Here is a 20,609-nt window from a genome sequence, read left to right on the forward strand (position 1 = left end):
GAAGAATCAAATTATTATGTTTGGACGTTTTGGTTACTTCTGTTGATGCAGTTGGTAGGCTTTCCCTCTAAAATGCTGCCATGGATATAACATCAGTCCAATTGACCCAGTTCCCTTCCCCTTCCCCTTCCCCTTCCCCTTCTTCTTCTCCTCCTCCTCCTCCTTCTTCTTCCAGCAAATATCAAATTTGGAGAGACAATCTGGTAGATTTAGCTTGCGTAAAGGGTCTGTCTACCCCTAGCTTGGTCACCTGTGGTTAGAGGGTCAGGGTGTTGTAGTACTGACAGGACCACTGGAGCTTCATACCTCCATTTTAGGGGTCATTCCAGGAGAAGGGAGCAGCACTCCCAGAGGTGTTCATTACACCCTTAATGGTTGTGGGTCTCAATGTGACAAAAGCAGAAGAGCATCTCTATCTTTTCTTAGCTCTTGTGATCTCCATCCTGTTGTAGGAGAAAATGTCCTATTATCCCTTATTACCATGCTCTATGTCAGCTCCCATAAGAAATGGAAACTGACATCTAAGCCAGTAGAGGGAGACATTCCACAAGAGATGGCGTCATCTCCTATTTCTTCCCCACCATATGCTTTCCCACTAAAGATGACCAACAAATTGCAGGTGTCACCACTGCACTGCTCTCAGGCTTGCCCCAAGAGCTCTGGTCCAGCCTGGCCTCCAACTCGTCAGTGTTAATCAAGGTAACACAAGGAAAATATATACAGAGACTAACAACTTATTACAGTACCTCAAAACCTATGCATATTTAGACAACGAGAATCAGTATTCCTTTTAGTCATTCGTTCATTTATATATTCATGAATTTGCTCAACCGATATTTATTAAATACTGGCTATGTGCCAGGTGCATGACATAAACTGTACAGTCATTCAAACCAAGTTTCAAGTCTAAAAGCCCTTTTCCTTTGAAGTTCGTTTCCCCCTGAAGAAAGTTAGATCCTTAAGTTACCAGTCCCAAAGCCTCACCTCCCCCAATCTTAGGCTCAACACTAATTATTGTAAGTAGTTTTCATTTTCTGTCTTTCCTTTTAGACTTAAGGCTTCGCCAAGGTCTCCCCGGCCCCCAGCAAACTACCTGCTATGAAGTAGATGCTCTGTAAATAGTTGTTAAGCACAAATTGCCTTGTGCTATGGAGACTGGGCCTGACATGAGTTGTAAAAGTATCAACAAGTGTATTGACAATGGGTATCGGCAAGTCTTTGCCCTTCAAGCCAGAGAGCTGCTGGGCAGGACAGATTATCTCTGTTTTCTCTGTCACTGATTTACTACCCTTGACTTATGCAATGACATCAGCTAATATGAAGAACACTGCACTGATGACCTCAAAATAACTGAACAAATAGTACTCCCTTTCCCCTCCACCAATGGCATCAACATTCTAAAAAAATTTAAGCATCTTAATAAGCGGTGTCTCTGCAAATATATTTCTTCCCTGAAAACATGATAATATTCTTTGTAATATTAGGCAATTTAGAGTCCCAGTGTAACTGTACATAACTCTACAGAAAAAAGACATATCTAACAAGAACTAGAATTACAAAAACTCATTATCACTGCATTGCACATGCTTCACACAGACATGAATACTATACCCACATATGAGGGTAAAAAGATAAGTGAAAGTAAAAGCTATGAGTGAGTGTGTCAGCCTGATACATTATGGTCCCAAGATGACAGGCTGGCCAAAATACTCCAAAAGAACAAACACACAAAAAGAAGGTAGAGGTAAATTTTTATAATGTTTGTATCCTGTTGGGAAATATAATGTAATGGGCACAGAGTGTGGACTGTAGAGTCAGACAGTCAGGGGTCAAGTCCTCATACCAGCACCTACTACCTATACACTCTGGGGTAGTTTACTTAACCTCTCTGAACCTGTTTCACCATCTGTAGAACATAGTGGTTTCAAGAATTAAATACGATAAATGACTACCATAATTTGGCATCTGAGGCATGTACCAATGACAGCCAGTTCACTCATTCATCCCGTAATTATGTATTGAACGCCTACTATGTCTGTCTTGCTCACCAATGCATTCCCAGCCCCTATCACACTACCCGTCACTGAGGAGACTCTCAAGAACTATTTGTAAGATGAATGTTAAGTCTGTGCTGTTATGGTGCATGCATGCTGGATTGAATCCATCCTCCTTCTGACCATGGGAAGAATGCCAATCAGAGTAGAACAAAGTAGGAAAGTAAAGGAACCTTCACTTTAGTGTTGAACAAGAGTCTATTATATACTAGAAAAAACTTTACAAATTTACAGACTTCTGAAAGTTAAATGATGATTCTATTGTTAGTTGATCAAACATCAGTCATTGAAAATGTAGTAATACGTTACCTCAAAAGAAAAAAAAAAGGTTAGAGTTTTCTTAACAGATAATTCTTTTTAAATCTGTAAGAATCTGTACGTCACTAAAATAAAATCCTGTCTAGATTATTAAAATAAACTTTGTTATCAGTTATATTTTCATGGAAAATATTCCTGTATATATTTTAATTAATAGCCACATAGATATTTGCTTTTTCTGTCAGATCATGTATCCCTTTAAAAACCATTAAAGCTAAAGAAAAAAATCTTAAAATATAATATTTACTCATTGCTAATAAAGGGAACACAAATTTGGAAAGACTCAAGTGAATATTTTTTCTTAATTTAAACTGAGTACTTTGTCTCTATTAAGCTAAGTTAAAAGAATTTGGGAGGACAACCTATGCTACCAAGAGAATAATTTGTTTCTAGGAATCTGAGTTAAAAGAATTTGGGAATGCAATCTCTGCTACCTGGAGAAGAAAGAAATGTCGTGGGTCCCACACCATTCTCAAGACTCTGTTTCAAAGCATTGTTTCAATACGCTGATCCAAACCCTGATAACCTGCCATCTTTTTAATAAAATAATTTATAAATTTAATGAGAATGTTTCACTTTCCATACAAAAAACAGAAAAATGCTTTGAATCAATGCACTTACTGGGATTTGGATTACTGACTGGTGTTCCTATTGATTCTTGTAGGAGTTATTAATCCTGATTGCAACACACAAGTGAACAGACAAGAGAGATAAATTTTGTGGCTTGTGGGAAATGAAGGAAAATGGGCCTCATTTAGTCTGTGAGCATACTAATTGAAATAGATGTATGAAGACTTCACCAGTGTTAAAATAACATTGTTTTTATAAATCATATGATATAAACTATATAACAATAAAATAGAATGTTAAACATGTATTTAATCATCATCATAATTTTGATTCAGAAATCTATAATTTATTAGTTATCTTAATAATGTTTAGAATTTGTTGAACATTTTACCTTATGTGAATTAAGGACAAAATATTAAAGCTATTCAGCACAAAAAAAGGGTCTTTCTGATGTGTATTTTTCATAGAATAGGGTATGAATTTGTTATTTTGTTATTTTGATTAATGTCTAAAACAAAAGATAAACACATTATGATATAACATTACTATTGATTTTAATGGCCCCTTTTGAAATAGAATTATGTCATTGTCAGAAAACATAAGCATTTATGGTATATCATTAATGAGTCACGATTTTAGTGGTTGCCTTGTGAGTAGGTCAAATTTACTAAGCTTAGATTTGTTTTCTCACATATTCTTTCGGAGCTTGTGTAGTTTCCACATTAATTTACCAGAAACAAGATACACATCTCTCTTTGAGGAGTGCCCTAACTTCCCATCATTTTGTCCAATTAAATGAATTGAAGAAATTTAATGTTTCTAAACTAGACCAACAAAGAATAATAGTTGTATGACAAGTAAATAAGCTTTGCTGGGAAGATGTTGCTTAAATGATAAAATGGTTCAGCCAACAAGTGAACCAAAAATTAAATATTAACTAAGGAAAGGTAACCATTTCTGAAGTCATTCCTAGCAGAGGACTCAGATATATATAGGATTGAAGATCTCTCAGTTAAGTCTACATGAAAAGGATGGTTTCTTGGAGCTTCCACAAACTTAAAACCATGAAACATCTATTATTGCTACTATTGTGTGTTTTTCTAGTTAAGTCCCAAGGTGTCAACGACAATGAGGAGGTGAATTTTTTAAAGCATTATTATATTATTAGTAGTATTATTAATATAAGATGTAACATAATCATATTATGTGCTTATTTTAATGAAATTAGCATTGCTTATAGTTATGAAATGGAATTGTTAACCTCTGACTTATTGTATTTAAAGAATGTTTCATAGTATTTCTTATATAAAAACAAAGTAATTTCTTGTTTTCTAGTTTATCACCTTTGTTTTCTTAAGATGAGGATGGCTTAGCTAATGTAAGATGTGTTTTTCTCACTTGCTATTCTGAGTACTGTGATTTTCATTTACTTCTAGCAATACAGGATTACAATTAAGAGGACAAGATCTGAAAATCTCACAAACTATAAAATAATAAAAGAGCAGAATTTTAAGATAAAAGAAACTGGTGGTAGGTAGATTGTTCTTTGGTGAAGGAAGGTAATATATATTGTTACTGAGATTACTATTTATAAAAATTATAACTAAGCCTAAAAGCAAAATACATCAAGTGTAATGATAGAAAATGAAATATTGCTTTTTTCAGATGAAAAGTTCAAATTAGAGTTAGTGTGTATTGTTATTATTAATAGTTATGAAACACGGTTCAGTCTAATTTATTTATTTGTAGAACAGTTTGTCCTCAACTATTATTTTTGCTGACTTATTGCTGTTAATTTGCAGTTACTAAAAATACAGAAATGCATTTAGGACAATGGATATTTAAGAAATTTAAATTTTATCATCAAACGTATCATGGCCAAATTTCTTACATATAGCATAGTATCATTAAACTAGAAATAAGAATACACAATAATATTTAAATGAAGTGATTCATTTCGGATCATTATTGAGTTTCAAGGGAACTTGAGTGTTGTACTTATCAGACTCTACATGTAAGAACATATAGTTAATCTGGTTGTGTGTGTAAAAACATATGGTTAATCTGGTTAAGTCTGGTTAATCATATTAGGTAAGAAAAATGTAAAGAATGTGTAAGACGAAATTTTTGTAAAGTACTCTGCAAAGCACTTTCACATTTCTGCTTATCAACTAAACCTCACAGAGATAGTTTAATAGTTTAGGCTTTAAAATGGATTTTGATTATTCAACAAGTGGCCTTCATAATTTCTTTAAGTGTTTTTCTTTAAGTATATACTTTCTTTAAATATTTTTTAAAATTTCCTTTTCTCTAGTAAAGCCAGACCATCCATGCTACCTCTCTAGTGGCACTCTGAAATAAAAAGAAAATAGTTTTCTCTGTTATAATTGTATTTGTAATAAGCAGATGAATCACATTTCTTAAAATTTGTTTTAGAGAGGGTAAGCTCTGACTAGGACCATGACTTCAATGTGAAATATGTATATATCCTCCGAATCTTTACATATTAAGAATGTATATAGTCAACTGGTTAAACAGGAAAATCTGGAACCAGCCTGGCTGGGTTTTAATCTTAGCACCATCCTACTAAATGTTAAATAATATTATAATCTAATGAATAAATGACAATGCAATTCCAAATAGAGTTCATCTGATGACTTCTAGACTCACAAAATTGCAAGAGAGCTCAGTTGTTGCTCAGTTGTTCCAAATCATGTCGTTTGTTAATTTGTAATTAAGCTCCAAAGGATGTATAGCTACTGACAAAAAAAAAAATGAGAATGTAGTTAATCCAAATCAAAACTTTCCTATTGCAATGCGTATTTTCTGCTTCATTATCCTTTAATATAATATTTTAAGTTAGCAAGTAATTTTAATTACAATGCACAAGCCTTGAGAATTATTTTAAATATAAGAAAATCATAATGTTTGATAAAGAAATCATGTAAGAAATTTCAAGATAATGGTTTAACAAATAATTTTGTTGATAGAAGATAAGACTAAAAGTGAAATTCGAAGTGGAGAGGACACTTAAACTGTAGTACTTGTTATGTGTGATTCCAGTAAAAATAGTAATGAGCACTTATTATTGCCAAGTACTGTTCTGAGGGTACCATATGCAATAAGTTATTTAATCCTTACAATAATCTTGTAAGGCAGATTCAAACTATCATTACACTTATTTTACAGATGAGAAAACTGGGGCACAGATAAAGCAACTTGCCCAAGGTCTCATAGCTGTAAGTCAACCCTACGGTCAAGACCTACAAGTAGCCGAGCTCCAGAGTACATTATGAGGGTCAAAGATTGTCTTATTACAAATAAATTCCAAGTAGAATCAACCTTTAATAAGTCTTTAATGTCTCTTAAATATGTTTATATAGGAGTCTAATCACCAATTCACAAAAATGAAAGTAGGGAAATGATTAACAATAATCATAGGAATCTAACAATCCAAGTGGCTTGAGAATATTCATTCTTCTTGACAGTATAGATTCTTTACAATTTCGTAAGTTCCAATGTATGTTTTAGGAATATGAGGTCATTACTATTCATAATCTGATACAGCTTTATCCTAAGGCCTCTCTTTAAAAACTACACTGCATCATAGCTTTTTTGTGCAGTTGGTCTTTCTACTGTTACTGAACAGTAAGCAACCTACAGATTCACTATCACCAACCAGCCAGTTGATGGATCTTAAGCAAATTATCAAGCTTGTGATAACCTAAATTATAAAATGAGGGTGTTGGAATAGTTACATTCCAAATCTTCTATAACACTCTGTATTATATTTCTGCCTCATTCCTTGTAGGGTTTCTTCAGTGCCCGTGGTCATCGACCCCTTGACAAGAAGAGAGAAGAGGCTCCCAGCCTGAGGCCTGCCCCACCGCCCATCAGTGGAGGTGGCTATCGGGCTCGTCCAGCCAAAGCAGCTGCCACTCAAAAGAAAGTAGAAAGAAAAGCCCCTGATGCTGGAGGCTGTCTTCACGCTGACCCAGACCTGGTGGGTGCACTGATGTTTCTTGCAGTGGTGGCTCTCTCATGCAGAGAAAGCCTGTAGTCATGGCAGTCTGCTAATGTTTCACTGACCCACATTACCATCACTGTTATTTTGTTTGTTTATTTTGGAAATAAAATTCAAAACATAAACATATTGGGCCTTTGGTTTAGGCTTTCTTTCTTGTTTTCTTTGGTCTGGGCCCAAAATTTCAAATTAGGATATGTGGGTGCCACCTTTCCATTTGTATTTTGCCACTGCCTTTGTTTAGTTGGTAAAATTTTCATAGCCCAATTATATTTTTTCTGGGGTAAGTAATATTTTAAATCTCTATGAGAGTATGATGATGACTTTCGAATTTCTGGTCTTACAGAAAACCAAATAATAAATTTTTATGTTGGCTAATCGTATCGCTGAATTTTCCTATGTGCTATTTTAACAAATGTCCATGACCCAAATCCTTCATCTAATGCCTGCTATTTTCTTTGTTTTTAGGGGGTGTTGTGTCCTACAGGATGTCAGTTGCAAGAGGCTTTGCTACAACAGGAAAGGCCAATCAGAAATAGTGTTGATGAGTTAAATAACAATGTGGAAGCTGTTTCCCAGACCTCCTCTTCTTCCTTTCAGTACATGTATTTGCTGAAAGACCTGTGGCAAAAGAGGCAGAAGCAAGTAAAAGGTAGATATCCTTGTGCTTTCCATTCGATTTTCAGCTATAAAATTGGAACCGTTAGACTGCCACGAGAATGCATGGTTGTGAGAAGATTAACATTTCTGGGTTAGTGAATAGCATTCATACGCTTTTGGGCACCTTCCCCTGCAACTTGCCAGATAAGCACTATTCAGCTCTTATTCCCAGTCTGACATCAGCAAGTGTGATTTTCTATGAAAAATTCTACTATGACTCCTTATTTTAAGTATACAAGAAACTTGTGACTCAGAAGATAATATTTACAGAGTGGAAAAAAACCCCTAGCATTTATAGTTTTAACATTTGAGGTTTTGAATGAGAGAGTTATCCATAATATATTCAATTGTGTTGTGGATAATGACACCTAACCTGTGAATCTTGAGGTCAGAATGTTGAGTGCTGTTGACTTGGTGGTCAGGAAACAGCTAGTGCGTGAGCCTGGCACAGGCATCTCAGTGAGTAGCATACCCACAGTTGGAAATTTTTCAAAGAAATCAAAGGAATCATGACATCTTATAAATTTCAAGGTTCTGCTATACTTATGTGAAATGGATAAATAAATCAAGCATATCCACTCTGTAAGATTGAACTTCTCAGATGGAAGACCCCAATACTGCTTTCTCCTCTTTTCCCTCACCAAAGAAATAAACAACCTATTTCATTTATTACTGGACACAATCTTTAGCGTATACCTATGGTAAATTACTAGTATGGTGGTTAGGATTTATGTTAATTTGTATATGTCATGCGCCAAATCATTTCCACTAAATATGACTATATATCATAACTGCTTGGTGATAGCTCAGTGTTTAATAGTTTATTCTCAGAAAATCAAAATTGTATAGTTAAATACATTAGTTTTATGAGGCAAAAATGCTAACTATTTCTACATAATTTCATTTTTCCAGATAATGAAAATGTAGTCAATGAGTACTCCTCAGAACTGGAAAAGCACCAATTATATATAGATGAGACTGTGAATAGCAATATCCCAACTAACCTTCGTGTGCTTCGTTCAATCCTGGAAAACCTGAGAAGCAAAATACAAAAGTTAGAATCTGATGTCTCAGCTCAAATGGAATATTGTCGCACCCCATGCACTGTCAGTTGCAATATTCCTGTGGTGTCTGGCAAAGGTAACTGATTCATAAACATATTTTTAGAGAGTTCCAGAAGAACTCACACACCAAAAATAAGAGAACAACAACAACAACAAAAATGCTAAGTGGATTTTCCCAACAGATCATAATGACATTACAGTACATCATAAAAATATCCTTAGCCAGTTGTGTTTTGGACTGGCCTGGTGCATTTGCTGGTTTTGATGAGCAGGATGGGGCACAGGTAGTCCCAGGGGTGGCTGATGTGTGCATCTGCGTACTGGCTTGAACAGATGGCAGAACCACAGATAGATGTAGAAGTTTCTCCATTTTGTGTGTTCTGGGAGCTCATGGATATTCCAGGACACAAAAGGTGGAGAAGAGCTTTGTTCATCCTCTTAGCAGATAAACGTCCTCAAAACTGGGTTGGACTTACTAAAGTAAAATGAAAATCTAATATTTGTTATATTATTTTCAAAGGTCTATAATAACACACTCCTTAGTAACTTATGTAATGTTATTTTAAAGAATTGGTGACTAAATACAAAGTAATTATGTCATAAACCCCTGAACATAATGTTGTCTTACATTTGCAGAATGTGAGGAAATTATCAGGAAAGGAGGTGAAACATCTGAAATGTATCTCATTCAACCTGACAGTTCTGTCAAACCGTATAGAGTATACTGTGACATGAATACAGAAAATGGAGGTAAGCTTTCGACAGTTGTTGACCTGTTGATCTGTAATTATTTGGATACCGTAAAATGCCAGGAAACAAGGCCAGGTGTGGTGGCTCATACCTGTAATTCCAGCACCTTGGGAGGCCAAAGTGGGCTGATAGCTTGAGCCTAGGAGTTTGAAACTAGCCTGGGCAACATAATGAGACCCTAACTCTACAAAAAAAAAAAAAATACCAAAAAAAAAAAAAAATCAGCTGTGTTGGTAGTATGTGCCTGTAGTCCCAGCTATCCAGGAGGCTGAGATGGGAGATCACCTGAGCCCACAACCTGGAGTCTTGATCATGCTACTGAACTGTAGCCTGGGCAACAGAGGATAGTGAGATCCTGTCTCAAAAAAAAAAATTAATTAAAAAGCCAGGAAACAAGACTTAGCTCTAACATCTAACATAGCTGACAAAGAGTAATTTGATGTGGAATTCAACCTGATATTTAAAAAGTTATAAAATATCTATAATTCACAATTTGGGGTAAGATAAAGCACTTGCAGTTTCCAAAGATTTTACAAGTTTACCTCTCATATTTATTTCCTTATTGTGTCTATTTTAGAGCACCAAATATATACTAAATGGAATGGACAGGGGATTCAGATATTATTTTCAAAGTGACATTATTTGCTGTTGGTTAATATATGCTCTTTTTGTTTCTGTCAACCAAAGGATGGACAGTGATTCAGAACCGTCAAGACGGTAGTGTTGACTTTGGCAGGAAATGGGATCCATATAAACAGGGATTTGGAAATGTTGCAACCAACACAGATGGGAAGAATTACTGTGGCCTACCAGGTAACGAACAGGCATGCAAAATAAAATCATTCTATTTGAAATGGGATTTTTTTTAATTAAAAAACATTCATTGTTGGAAGCCTGTTTTAGGCAGTTAAGAGGAGTTTCCTGACAAAAATGTGGAAGCTAAAGATAAGGGAAGAAAGGCAGTTTTTAGTTTCCCAAAATTTTATTTTTGGTGAGATTTTATTTTGTTTTTCTTTTAGGTGAATATTGGCTTGGAAATGATAAAATTAGCCAGCTTACCAGGATGGGACCCACAGAACTTTTGATAGAAATGGAGGACTGGAAAGGAGACAAAGTAAAGGCTCACTATGGAGGATTCACTGTACAGAATGAAGCCAACAAATACCAGATCTCAGTGAACAAATACAGAGGAACAGCCGGTAATGCCCTCATGGATGGAGCATCTCAGCTGATGGGAGAAAACAGGACCATGACCATTCACAACGGCATGTTCTTCAGCACGTATGACAGAGACAATGACGGCTGGTATGTGTGGCACTCTTTGCTCCTGCTTTAAAAATCACACTAATATCATTACTCAGAATCATTAACAATATTTTTAATAGCTACCACTTCCTGGGCACTTACTGTCAGCCACTGTCCTAAGCTCTTTATGCATCACTCGAAAGCATTTCAACTATAAGGTAGACATTCTTATTCTCATTTTACAGATGAGATTTAGAGAGATTACGTGATTTGTCCAATGTCACACAACTACCCAGAGATAAAACTAGAATTTGAGCACAGTTACTTTCTGAATAATGAGCATTTAGATAAATACCTATATCTCTATATTCTAAAGTGTGTGTGAAAACTTTCATTTTCATTTCCAGGGTTCTCTGATACTAAGGGTTGTAAAAGCTATTATTCCAGTATAAAGTAACAAACACAGTCCCTAGATGGATTGGCCACAAAGGCCCAGTTATCTCTCTTTCTTGCTATAGGGCACAGGAGGTCTTTGGTGTATTAGTGTGACTCTATGTATAGCACCCAAAGGAAAGACTACTGTGCACACGAGTGTAGCAGTCTTTTATGGGTAATCTGCAAAACGTAACTTGACCACCGTAGTTCTGTTTCTAATAACGCCAAACACATTTTCTTTCAGGTTAACATCAGATCCCAGAAAACAGTGTTCTAAAGAAGACGGTGGTGGATGGTGGTATAATAGATGTCATGCAGCCAATCCAAACGGCAGATACTACTGGGGTGGACAGTACACCTGGGACATGGCAAAGCATGGCACAGATGATGGTGTAGTATGGATGAATTGGAAGGGGTCATGGTACTCAATGAGGAAGATGAGTATGAAGATCAGGCCCTTCTTCCCACAGCAATAGTCCCCAATACGTAGATTTTTGCTCTTCTGTATGTGACAACATTTTTGTACATTATGTTATTGGAATTTTCTTTCATACATTATATTCCTCTAAAACTCTCAAGCAGACGTGAGTGTGACTTTTTGAAAAAAGTATAGGATAAATTACATTAAAATAGCACATGATTTTCTTTTGTTTTCTTCATTTCTCTTGCTCACCAAGAAGTAACAAAAGTATAGTTTTGACAGAGTTGGTGTTCATAATTTCAGTTCTAGTTGATTGCGAGAATTTTCAAATAAGGAAGAGGGGTCTTTTATCCTTGTCGTAGGAAAACCATGACGGAAAGGAAAAACTGATGTTTAAAAGTCCACTTTTAAAACTATATTTATTTATGTAGGATCTGTCAAAGAAAACTTCCAAAAAGATTTATTAATTAAACCAGACTCTGTTGCAATAAGTTAATGTTTTCTTGTTTTGTAATCCACACATTCAATGAGTTAGGCTTTGCACTTGTAAGGAAGGAGAAGCGTTCACAACCTCAAATAGCTAATAAACCGGTCTTGAATATTTGAAGATTTAAAATCTGACTCTAGGACGGGCACGGTGGCTCACGACTATAATCCCAACACTTTGGGAGGCTGAGGCGGGCGGTCACAAGGTCAGGAGTTCAAGACCAGCCTGACCAATATGGTGAAACCCCATCTCTACTAAAAATACAAAAATTAGCCAGGCGTGGTGGCAGGTGCCTGTAGTCCCAGCTACCTGTGAGGTGGAGATTGCATTGAGCCAAGATCTCAACACTGCACTCCAGCCTGGGCAACAGCGTGAGACTCCACCTCAAAAAAAAAAAAAAAAGAATCTGACTATATACCATGGAAAAGCCACCACTCTGCCACTTAAATAAACATCAGGATCAGAGATTCCAAGAGGACAATCTGCATCAAGTCTTCACCAAGTGTTTTTTAAGCGAAATAATGAAATAGGGAGCAGAATATGCCTGTTGCCCATAGAAACGAGGTCTATTCTTGTCCTCAATTAGGCTTTTTTTTCTTCATAGTTACACCAGAACTAAAGTAAAAGTGGTTTTTCTGTTCTTTCTACTTCTCCCCATGAAATGGGCATATCATCTCAACACTTCACTCCAAGTCGCCACGGGCAACCTTATGACCCTAGGTCCTCCACCCCTAATGTATCATCATTGCCACCCATTTTTATGGTACTTATTGTTCTTAAGCTTATCCTCTTAATCTTTTCATGTAAGCAAAGCTCATTAATTTCTGTCTTGGAAATGCTACTACTCTCTTTAATTACTCACCAAATCCAACTTTAACTTTTGACCTGGTTTCTCTGCCACAAGTTCTGTCCCACTGGAGCCCATACTCACCTACCGCTTTGCCATCACATTTAACAGAAAACTCTTATCAACTTACTTCCTGCTTAACATTAGCTCCTTCCTATCTATATCCAAATTTCTTAAATTCAAATTTTTTAGCTGGAGTAAAAATGGTCCCAGTACCATTTCCTGTTCCCTTCACTATAACCTACATTTTTGTCACATTAAGTTTTTCCCCATTCCAGGACAGGTCAGGCCCTTTAAAAATTTCAACAGCTTTATTGAGATATAATTGATATAATTTAAAAAATCCTGCACATGTGTCATGCTGGAGCCCTATTGATTCCAACAGGGATGGCGCCTTGTCCAAGAAGAGACCCAGAGCCAGTGAATGGGACATAGGGTTTATTTAGGACTTAAATACAGATGTGGTCCAGTGGCAGTGGGCTGGACAGGACCGCTACTATTTGTAAAGAGTATGTAGTTTATATAACATTTCTACTTAGCACTCTCCACTTAGCAACCTCCATTTAACCCAAAATAAAAGGCCTTGGTTCCTTGCACATCCTGAGTTCCAACGGACAGGCAGGGAGTTCAAGTGTCCTTCACAGATAAGAAGTGAATCTCTCTGGGTTGGCCATTCCCGGATTCCTTAGCTTAGACTCTGAACACATATTCTTCTTAGACCATACAGTCATTCTCAGGGTATGCTTGAGTTAATGCTGTCGGATGCATCTGTCATACAAAGTGTTTAACATATACGATTTCATGATTTTGGAAATATGCATACACCCATGATATCACTGGCACAGTCAAGATATTAAATATATCCATCACCTCCAAAAGTTTCCTTGTGTTCATTTATTTTAGTTTTTCATGGTAAGAACATTTAATATGAAATATTATCAACAAATTTTTAAGTGCACAATACTGTATTATTAATTTTAGGCATTATGTTGTACAGTAGATCTCTAGAACATATTCATCTACTAAAAATGAAATTTTATCTCCATTTCCCCCTACCTCCCATCCCCTGGCAACTACCATTCTATTTTCCACTTTGACTGTTTCAGATACCTCATATAAGTGAAATCACACAGTATCCTTTCGCACTGTTGTGGGGATGTAAAACGGTGCAGCTACCATGGGAAGAAATGTGGAGGCCCCTAAAAAATTTTTTAAAAAATTCTGATTATCATATGATCCAGCAATCTCACTTTTAGGCATATATCCAAAAGAACTGATATCAGGATCTGGAAGCAATATTTGTGCATCTGTGGTCATTGCAACATTATTCACAATGTTCAGGTCCTTTTATATGATGCCCTCATTGCAGCAATGTCTTCCTCCCAACACCATCTGACAAACTGCTATTTGTTTTTAAACCTCACTTTAACTGTCACCGCCCAGAGAAGACTTTCTAAAACCTTTGGGCAAATTTTATTACTTTTTGACAATGAATGCCTGAGGCTTATCCAGCTTTGATTCCAGAAACATCAGCCTGTCAGAATGGCTAATTTTCATGCATTTGTGAATGCTGGATGGCTAAATCCAGTGATTTTCAAAGTCTCGAACATCCTCTTTTTAAATGTAGAACCCATTTTCCAATAAAGCCACAAACAGAAACTCAACATGCAAAGTTCTTGAATATGGAACTTTTGGGGCAATACTGAGAGTCGCAAAAGTTCACTGAATGAAAAATGCGGGTTGGGAAGACTGCAGTCATCAGACCTTTGCTCACTCCTTACGTGTTCACAGAGGATCAAATGAATCCCTAGAGCTTGAAGTAATGCCATAGAAGAAAAACCACTAAAGTAGATAATCTGATGGTCAATTCTTAGTTAATGTACAAATAGAAAAAACACAGAGACCACTCCCAGGTAATATGTAAGTCTATCTAGAAAGAAATGCACTTTCTTGGCTGGGCACAGTGGCTCCCATCTGCAAACCCAGCACTTTGCTGGGATGAGGTGGGAAGATTGCTTCAGACCAGGAGTTAGAGGCCAGCTTGGCAACATAGTGAGACCCTGGCTCTACTATAAAACTTGTAAAAACAAACGAAAATACAGTAACGAAAAAAGAAATGCACTTTCTTAAGGTGTCATTTGGTAAGAAATGTTATGTGTCTGATTTTGCCCATGCACAATTTTGAATATAATAAAAAAGGTAGCTTCCCCTATTTAGAATATATAAAACAGTAACAACAAGATTGTATAACTCATGATTTTAAGATGATAATAGAAAGATTAGTTGAAAGTTTTTAATCCCACACTGTGGTATGAGAACTATTTTATTTATATATATATATACATATATATATATACACATATATAATTATATATATGTATATATAATTATACAATTAGGACTGAAAGTCTGCAACAAACTATAATGGATGTATGCACTTGGGACATAAGCTTCTAGTTCCTCTTTATTTATGAACCAAGAGAAACAGCTAACTCAGGGATTGTTTTTAAACTGACTACAGATTCCCACCATGGGGCAAAAATATGGGTGACATGACACATCACCAGCTGCAGTAGCTCAGCTCACATTTCTGTTTAAGCATTACACACATAATATCCTGTATGCTGATCATTTAAACTTACTGACGCTTGTAATCCCAGCACTTTGGGAGGCCGAGGGGGGTGAATCATGAGGTCAGGAAATTGAGACCATCCTGGACAACATGGTGAAATCGAAACAGTGTCTCTACTAAAAATACAAAAATTAGCTGGGTGTGGTGGTGTGCACCTGTAATCCCAGCTACTCGGGAGGCTGAGGCAGGAGAATCACTTGAACCCGGGAGGCAGAGGTTACAGTGAGCTGAGATCACGCCACTGCACTCCAGCCTGGGCATAAGACTGAGACTCCAAGTCAAAAAAAAAAATGCAGATTTCTTGGTACTAACCTAGGTTTATTACATCAGAGACTCTAAGGGCAAAGAGCCTGAGTCTCCATTTTAAAATAAATGTCCCTGAGAGTGACTGATCACTGGTTGGATTTCAGAGTTACTGATAGAGGCTACATTTGTATTTACCTGAGACTCCCTTGATATTTCTTACCTACTATCCTTTTCACTCAAATGGTGACCATGAGGCAATATTTTGAGCAAATAGTCATCCTTAAAGTTACCTTGAATAACTTCATGGTGACCACTGCCTATGTTTAAGACCAGACTTGGGTTTAACATCTCTCCAAATGCTAGAATCACTATTTCCACTATACTTCCGCTAGTCTCTGGTGATTCTTTGGATTGGACTTCAAATTCTCTTGCAGTGTAGAAAAGAATTACAGATGCTACCTCTCATGTGTACATAGAGCTGACATTTCAGTTTTTGAATTCCATCCTCCCCCCTCACTATTGCATGTGATCTGATGCTCTTGCTTGAACTTCTTGTGGTGTGCAGCTCTGCACCAAATAGCAATGAATTGGTACATAGTAATGCAGACACATGGAAAGTGGAATCACTGATTTTTTTTTTTTTTTTTTAAGATGGAGTTCTGCTCTTGTTGCCCAGGCTGGAGTACAATGGCACTCGCAATCATGGCTCACAGCAACCTCCGTCTCCTGGGTTCAAGCAATTTTCCTGCCTCAGCCTCCCGAGTAGCTGGGATTACAAGCATGCACCACCATGCCTGGATAATTTCACATTTTTAGTAGAGACGGGGTTTCTCCATGTTGGTCAGGCTGGTCCCAAATTCCCAACCCCAGGTGATCCACCTGCCTAGGCCTCCCAAAGTGCTGGGATTACAGGTGTGAGCCACCATGCTTGGCCAACTGACATTTATTTTAACAACATTAGTTGTGGTATTAAATAATGAAAGTAGCCCGTATTCTTTGCAGACATTTTGGGAAATATAGAAATGATTAGACCCATTTATAATTTCAACACAAGCAGTGGAATAGCTAATACCTTCATTTATGTTTTTTGTCTTACCCTGTACATGTTTTAGTGCCTGAATTTTTCACACTGAGTCACAAAAAGTTTTCCATATTATTTAACATTCTTCTATAGTATCATTTTCTGTAATTTGCTTTTTAATGGCCATATGATATTCCATTATGGGAATTTATTTAAACGTCTCCTCTCATTTCACATTTAGGTTTTTTCCAACCTTTTTCTATTAAAGAGAGTACTGACATTAACATCCTTCTCCATAAACCTTTTGTGCATATATATTATATAATATATTGTATACATTATTTATAATATAAATTTATTTTATATTTTAAAATATTTATTTTATAACATGGTTTACACATTATAAATGTATATTTATAATATTTATTTATTTATTTCTAGGATAAATTACTTGAAGCAGAATATCTGGAGGAAATAAAAGGTTTTGGGCTCAGCGCAGTACCTCATGCCTGTAATCCTAGCACTTTGGAAGGCTGAGGTGGGAGGATTACTTGGCCCAGGCTGCAGTGAGCCCTGACTGTGCTACTGCTACTGCACTACAGCCTAGATGACAGAGTGAGAACCTGCCTCAAAAAAAATGTTTTTGGCATTTTAAACTTAAAAAAAAAATATATATATATATATAGCCAAGTAACTCTCCAGAAAGATTGTACCAATTTACCTTTGATGCACAGAATAACATATTTAATTTTTATTTTGCTTCTCCATCACTAATATTATGATTAAAATATTAGTAATTACTTTAATTTTAATATCTTGAATTAGTAGTACAAGTAAGAGATTTAAAAATGTTTAATGACTATTTTACTATCTTCTGTGAATTGCCTATCCACGTCCTTTGCTCAATTTTCTTTTTTTTCTTGTTTTTTCTTCTCTTCTCTTTTTTTTGAGACAAGGTCTCGCTCTGTTCCCCAGGCTGGAGTACAGTGGCGTGATCTTGGTTCACTGCAACTTCTGCTTCCTGGGCTCAGGTGATTCTCCCACCTCAGCCTCCCAAATAGCTGGGACCACAGGCATGCACCACCATACCTAACTAATTTTTTTGTATTTTTTGTAGAGACTGGGTTTCGCCATGTTGCCCAAGCTGGTCTCAGACTCCTGGACTAAAGCGATCTGCCCTCCCTGACCTCCCAAAGTGCTGGGATTGTAAGCATGAGCCACTGCGCCTGGCCCTTTCCTCAATTTTCCATTAGCAAAGTCATCTTTTATATGAATTACTCATTTCATAATATGTAGGATAGCAATCAGAAACATGGTATTTTCCTCTATACAAATATTTTAATTTGTAAGTAATTACACTGGGAGTCATATACTTATGCAAATAATCTTAACTGGTACGGATATTCACCATCAGACACTTTCTTTTCTTCTCCCAGCCAAGATGTGATGAACAGGCAATACATCTTTTTGTTTGTTTTTTGATTCAATTATATTTATTTCTGCCCCAAACTTTTTATTTTGAACAGTTTATACTCTACAGAGAAATTGCAAGAATTTTAATAAATACCTCTCTGTCCTTCTCCTAGCTTCACCCTTTGTTTGTTGAAAGGAGATACTTTAGTGCAGTATTGCAACAGCTTATGTAGACATGCAACCTTGAGGTCACAGACCTATGAGGGATTGAGACAAAGGCAAATTTAGCAAATATTTTCCAGAGTACTCTGCTGCAATAACCACGTACCCACCTTCAGCAATGACCTGGTGAACAGGGAGACTACTGCTTAGTAACGGAGCAATTCTCAGCTCAAATCTGGCAGGTTCTAAGTTTTCTTGCCTCTGTGGTTTTGAATGGTTGCTCTTACTATGTGAAAATGGAAGACATCATGTCCTGTTCATGTTTAAGAATTAATTGAGATTTCCCCAGGGGCAAATACTTCACGATACTGCTTTCCTCAGTGATATTTAATGCACTTCCTGCCCTCATCCCCAATTAATTAAGCATTTTCCTCTATACAGGAGATTTATGAAGTACTTGGAATTCCATTAAAAAGAGGTAATATGTGACTTAAATGAATGCATAAATACATCAAATATAAGATATCTCAGAAATGGTTTCTGTGTGAATTTTGTTATCCACAAGCAACTTGTATTATTTTCATGGCTACAAGAAATTTCAATGTGGCTGCTTCCCAAGCTGTTTCCCAAGCAAGTAATAAATGTTGTATTACTTTATTTGAATATAACAAAGCTTTAATTTATGATTGCATGTGCTTACATTGACACCTTGGCATTTCCCTTCAGGCTTTTCTGGACATGAAAAAGATGAGTGAATTTGGCTGGATGGGTCTTTCTGTTCTGATTCACCAGCTGCACCCCAAGCATCAGCTAACTAACTTGGAAATATATTTTGTTTTGGTGGGGAATCTATGACAAAATATAATTAGATCAGTGATACCACTGGGCCAATAATGAAAAGCAAATGCTATGTACAATAGTGTCATGTTTATTTATGAAGTGTAGTATCATTATCCCAGAATGAATAATGAATGAGGCATGGAACTTAGGTGGTTAGAACCTGTAAGAACAATACTGTGGGCTTCATCCCCAGGTGTCCTCCTTATCATCACATTATTTCACCTCCTTAAATTACTATTTACTCACCTGAAAAATCAGTTCATAAAATGTTCTCACCTTCATTAAAAGAACACTAGTAATAATTGATTTCCATTAAAAGTATCCACATATTTGGGGGGAAACTTGTAATTCTTTATTCTAAAGAGTTTCCAGGAACTGAAAGTAAATACATAAACACAAGACTTGGATTAAAATGTAAATAATATCTTTTAATAAGAACCCAACAAGGCATCTTAACTTCATTATATTATGCATTCTGTAGAAAGTTCAAAAAAGATGATAAGTTCCTTGTTTTGTTTTGTTTGAGATGGAGTTTCACGCTGTTGCCCAGGTTTGAGGGCAGTGGCACAATCACGGCTCACTGCAACCTCAAACGTGATCTCCTGGGCTCAGGTGATCCTCCCACCTCAGCTTCCCGAGTAGCTGGGATCATAAGTATGCAACACCACATGCAGCCTATTTATTTATTTATTTTTTATTTATTTATTTATTTATTTAGTAGAGACAGCATCTCACTATGTTGCCCAGGCTGGTCTTGCACTCCTGGTCTCAAGCTATCCTTCTTCCATAGCCTCCCAAAGTGCTGGGATTACAGGCATGAGACACCGTGACTGGTCCCAAAAGTTCCTTTTTAACTGTTAGATTCCTTAGCTCACAAAAATTTGTTGAGTCATTATTATGTGTCAGACCTTGTGTTAAGTACTAGATATCAAATACAGTTCCTACACCTAAGAAAAGAATAACATATACTATGGTATACCAAAGGAGAACATCAAAGACAGCTTCAGGCTAAAGGATGGAGATAGATATACCTGGAAGTAAAATTAAAATCTAGCCAGATGTTTTTTCTATTCCTGACTCAGGATTAAAAACCCCACTTCAACACTTTTCTCTCTAGCAGAAATATTTAAAACCATGTCTTTTCCTGGCAAGATTTTCACATTCATATCTGTTTTGTTCATTAATCCATTCATTCAACTAAGGACTAATTTGAAATGGATAGCCTGAATAGAACTTGCATGTTAATGGAGGGATACCATCTTATATAAGTAAGGGAGCAAAAGTTAAGGAAAGAGGAAACAATAATATTTTAATGTAAATGTAAAATAATTAAGTTTTAAAATTTATTATTTATAAGAAAGTATTCTAAATAAGACGAAAAATAAATCTTGAAAATCAAGGGATATATAAAACTTAAGAA

At 36.2% G+C, this 20,609-nt stretch overlaps 1 protein-coding gene across 9 annotated transcripts; it reads left to right on the forward strand.

The window, feature by feature from the left end:
- Positions 3,926-13,753, forward strand: FGB (fibrinogen beta chain). 9 transcript variants are annotated; one of them, NM_001382764.1, is made up of 9 exons: positions 3,957-4,078; positions 6,754-6,945; positions 7,435-7,618; positions 8,539-8,766; positions 9,327-9,440; positions 10,128-10,253; positions 10,460-10,581; positions 10,719-10,745; positions 11,365-13,753. In NM_001382764.1, exons 1-8 carry the CDS (start codon positions 3,965-3,967, stop codon positions 10,725-10,727), a joined length of 1,089 nt encoding a protein of 362 aa, NP_001369693.1. In that variant the 5' UTR covers positions 3,957-3,964; the 3' UTR covers positions 10,728-10,745; positions 11,365-13,753. The 9 variants fall into 9 exon arrangements, with proteins under 9 accessions (NP_001171670.1, NP_001369693.1, NP_005132.2 ...); NM_001184741.1 differs by having other exon boundaries at positions 3,926-4,078; positions 6,754-6,804; positions 7,471-7,618; positions 10,460-10,745; positions 11,365-13,709; NM_005141.5 differs by having other exon boundaries at positions 10,460-10,745.

Source organism: Homo sapiens, chromosome 4 (assembly GCF_000001405.40).
Source record: "Homo sapiens chromosome 4, GRCh38.p14 Primary Assembly".
NCBI lineage: Eukaryota > Metazoa > Chordata > Mammalia > Primates > Hominidae > Homo > Homo sapiens.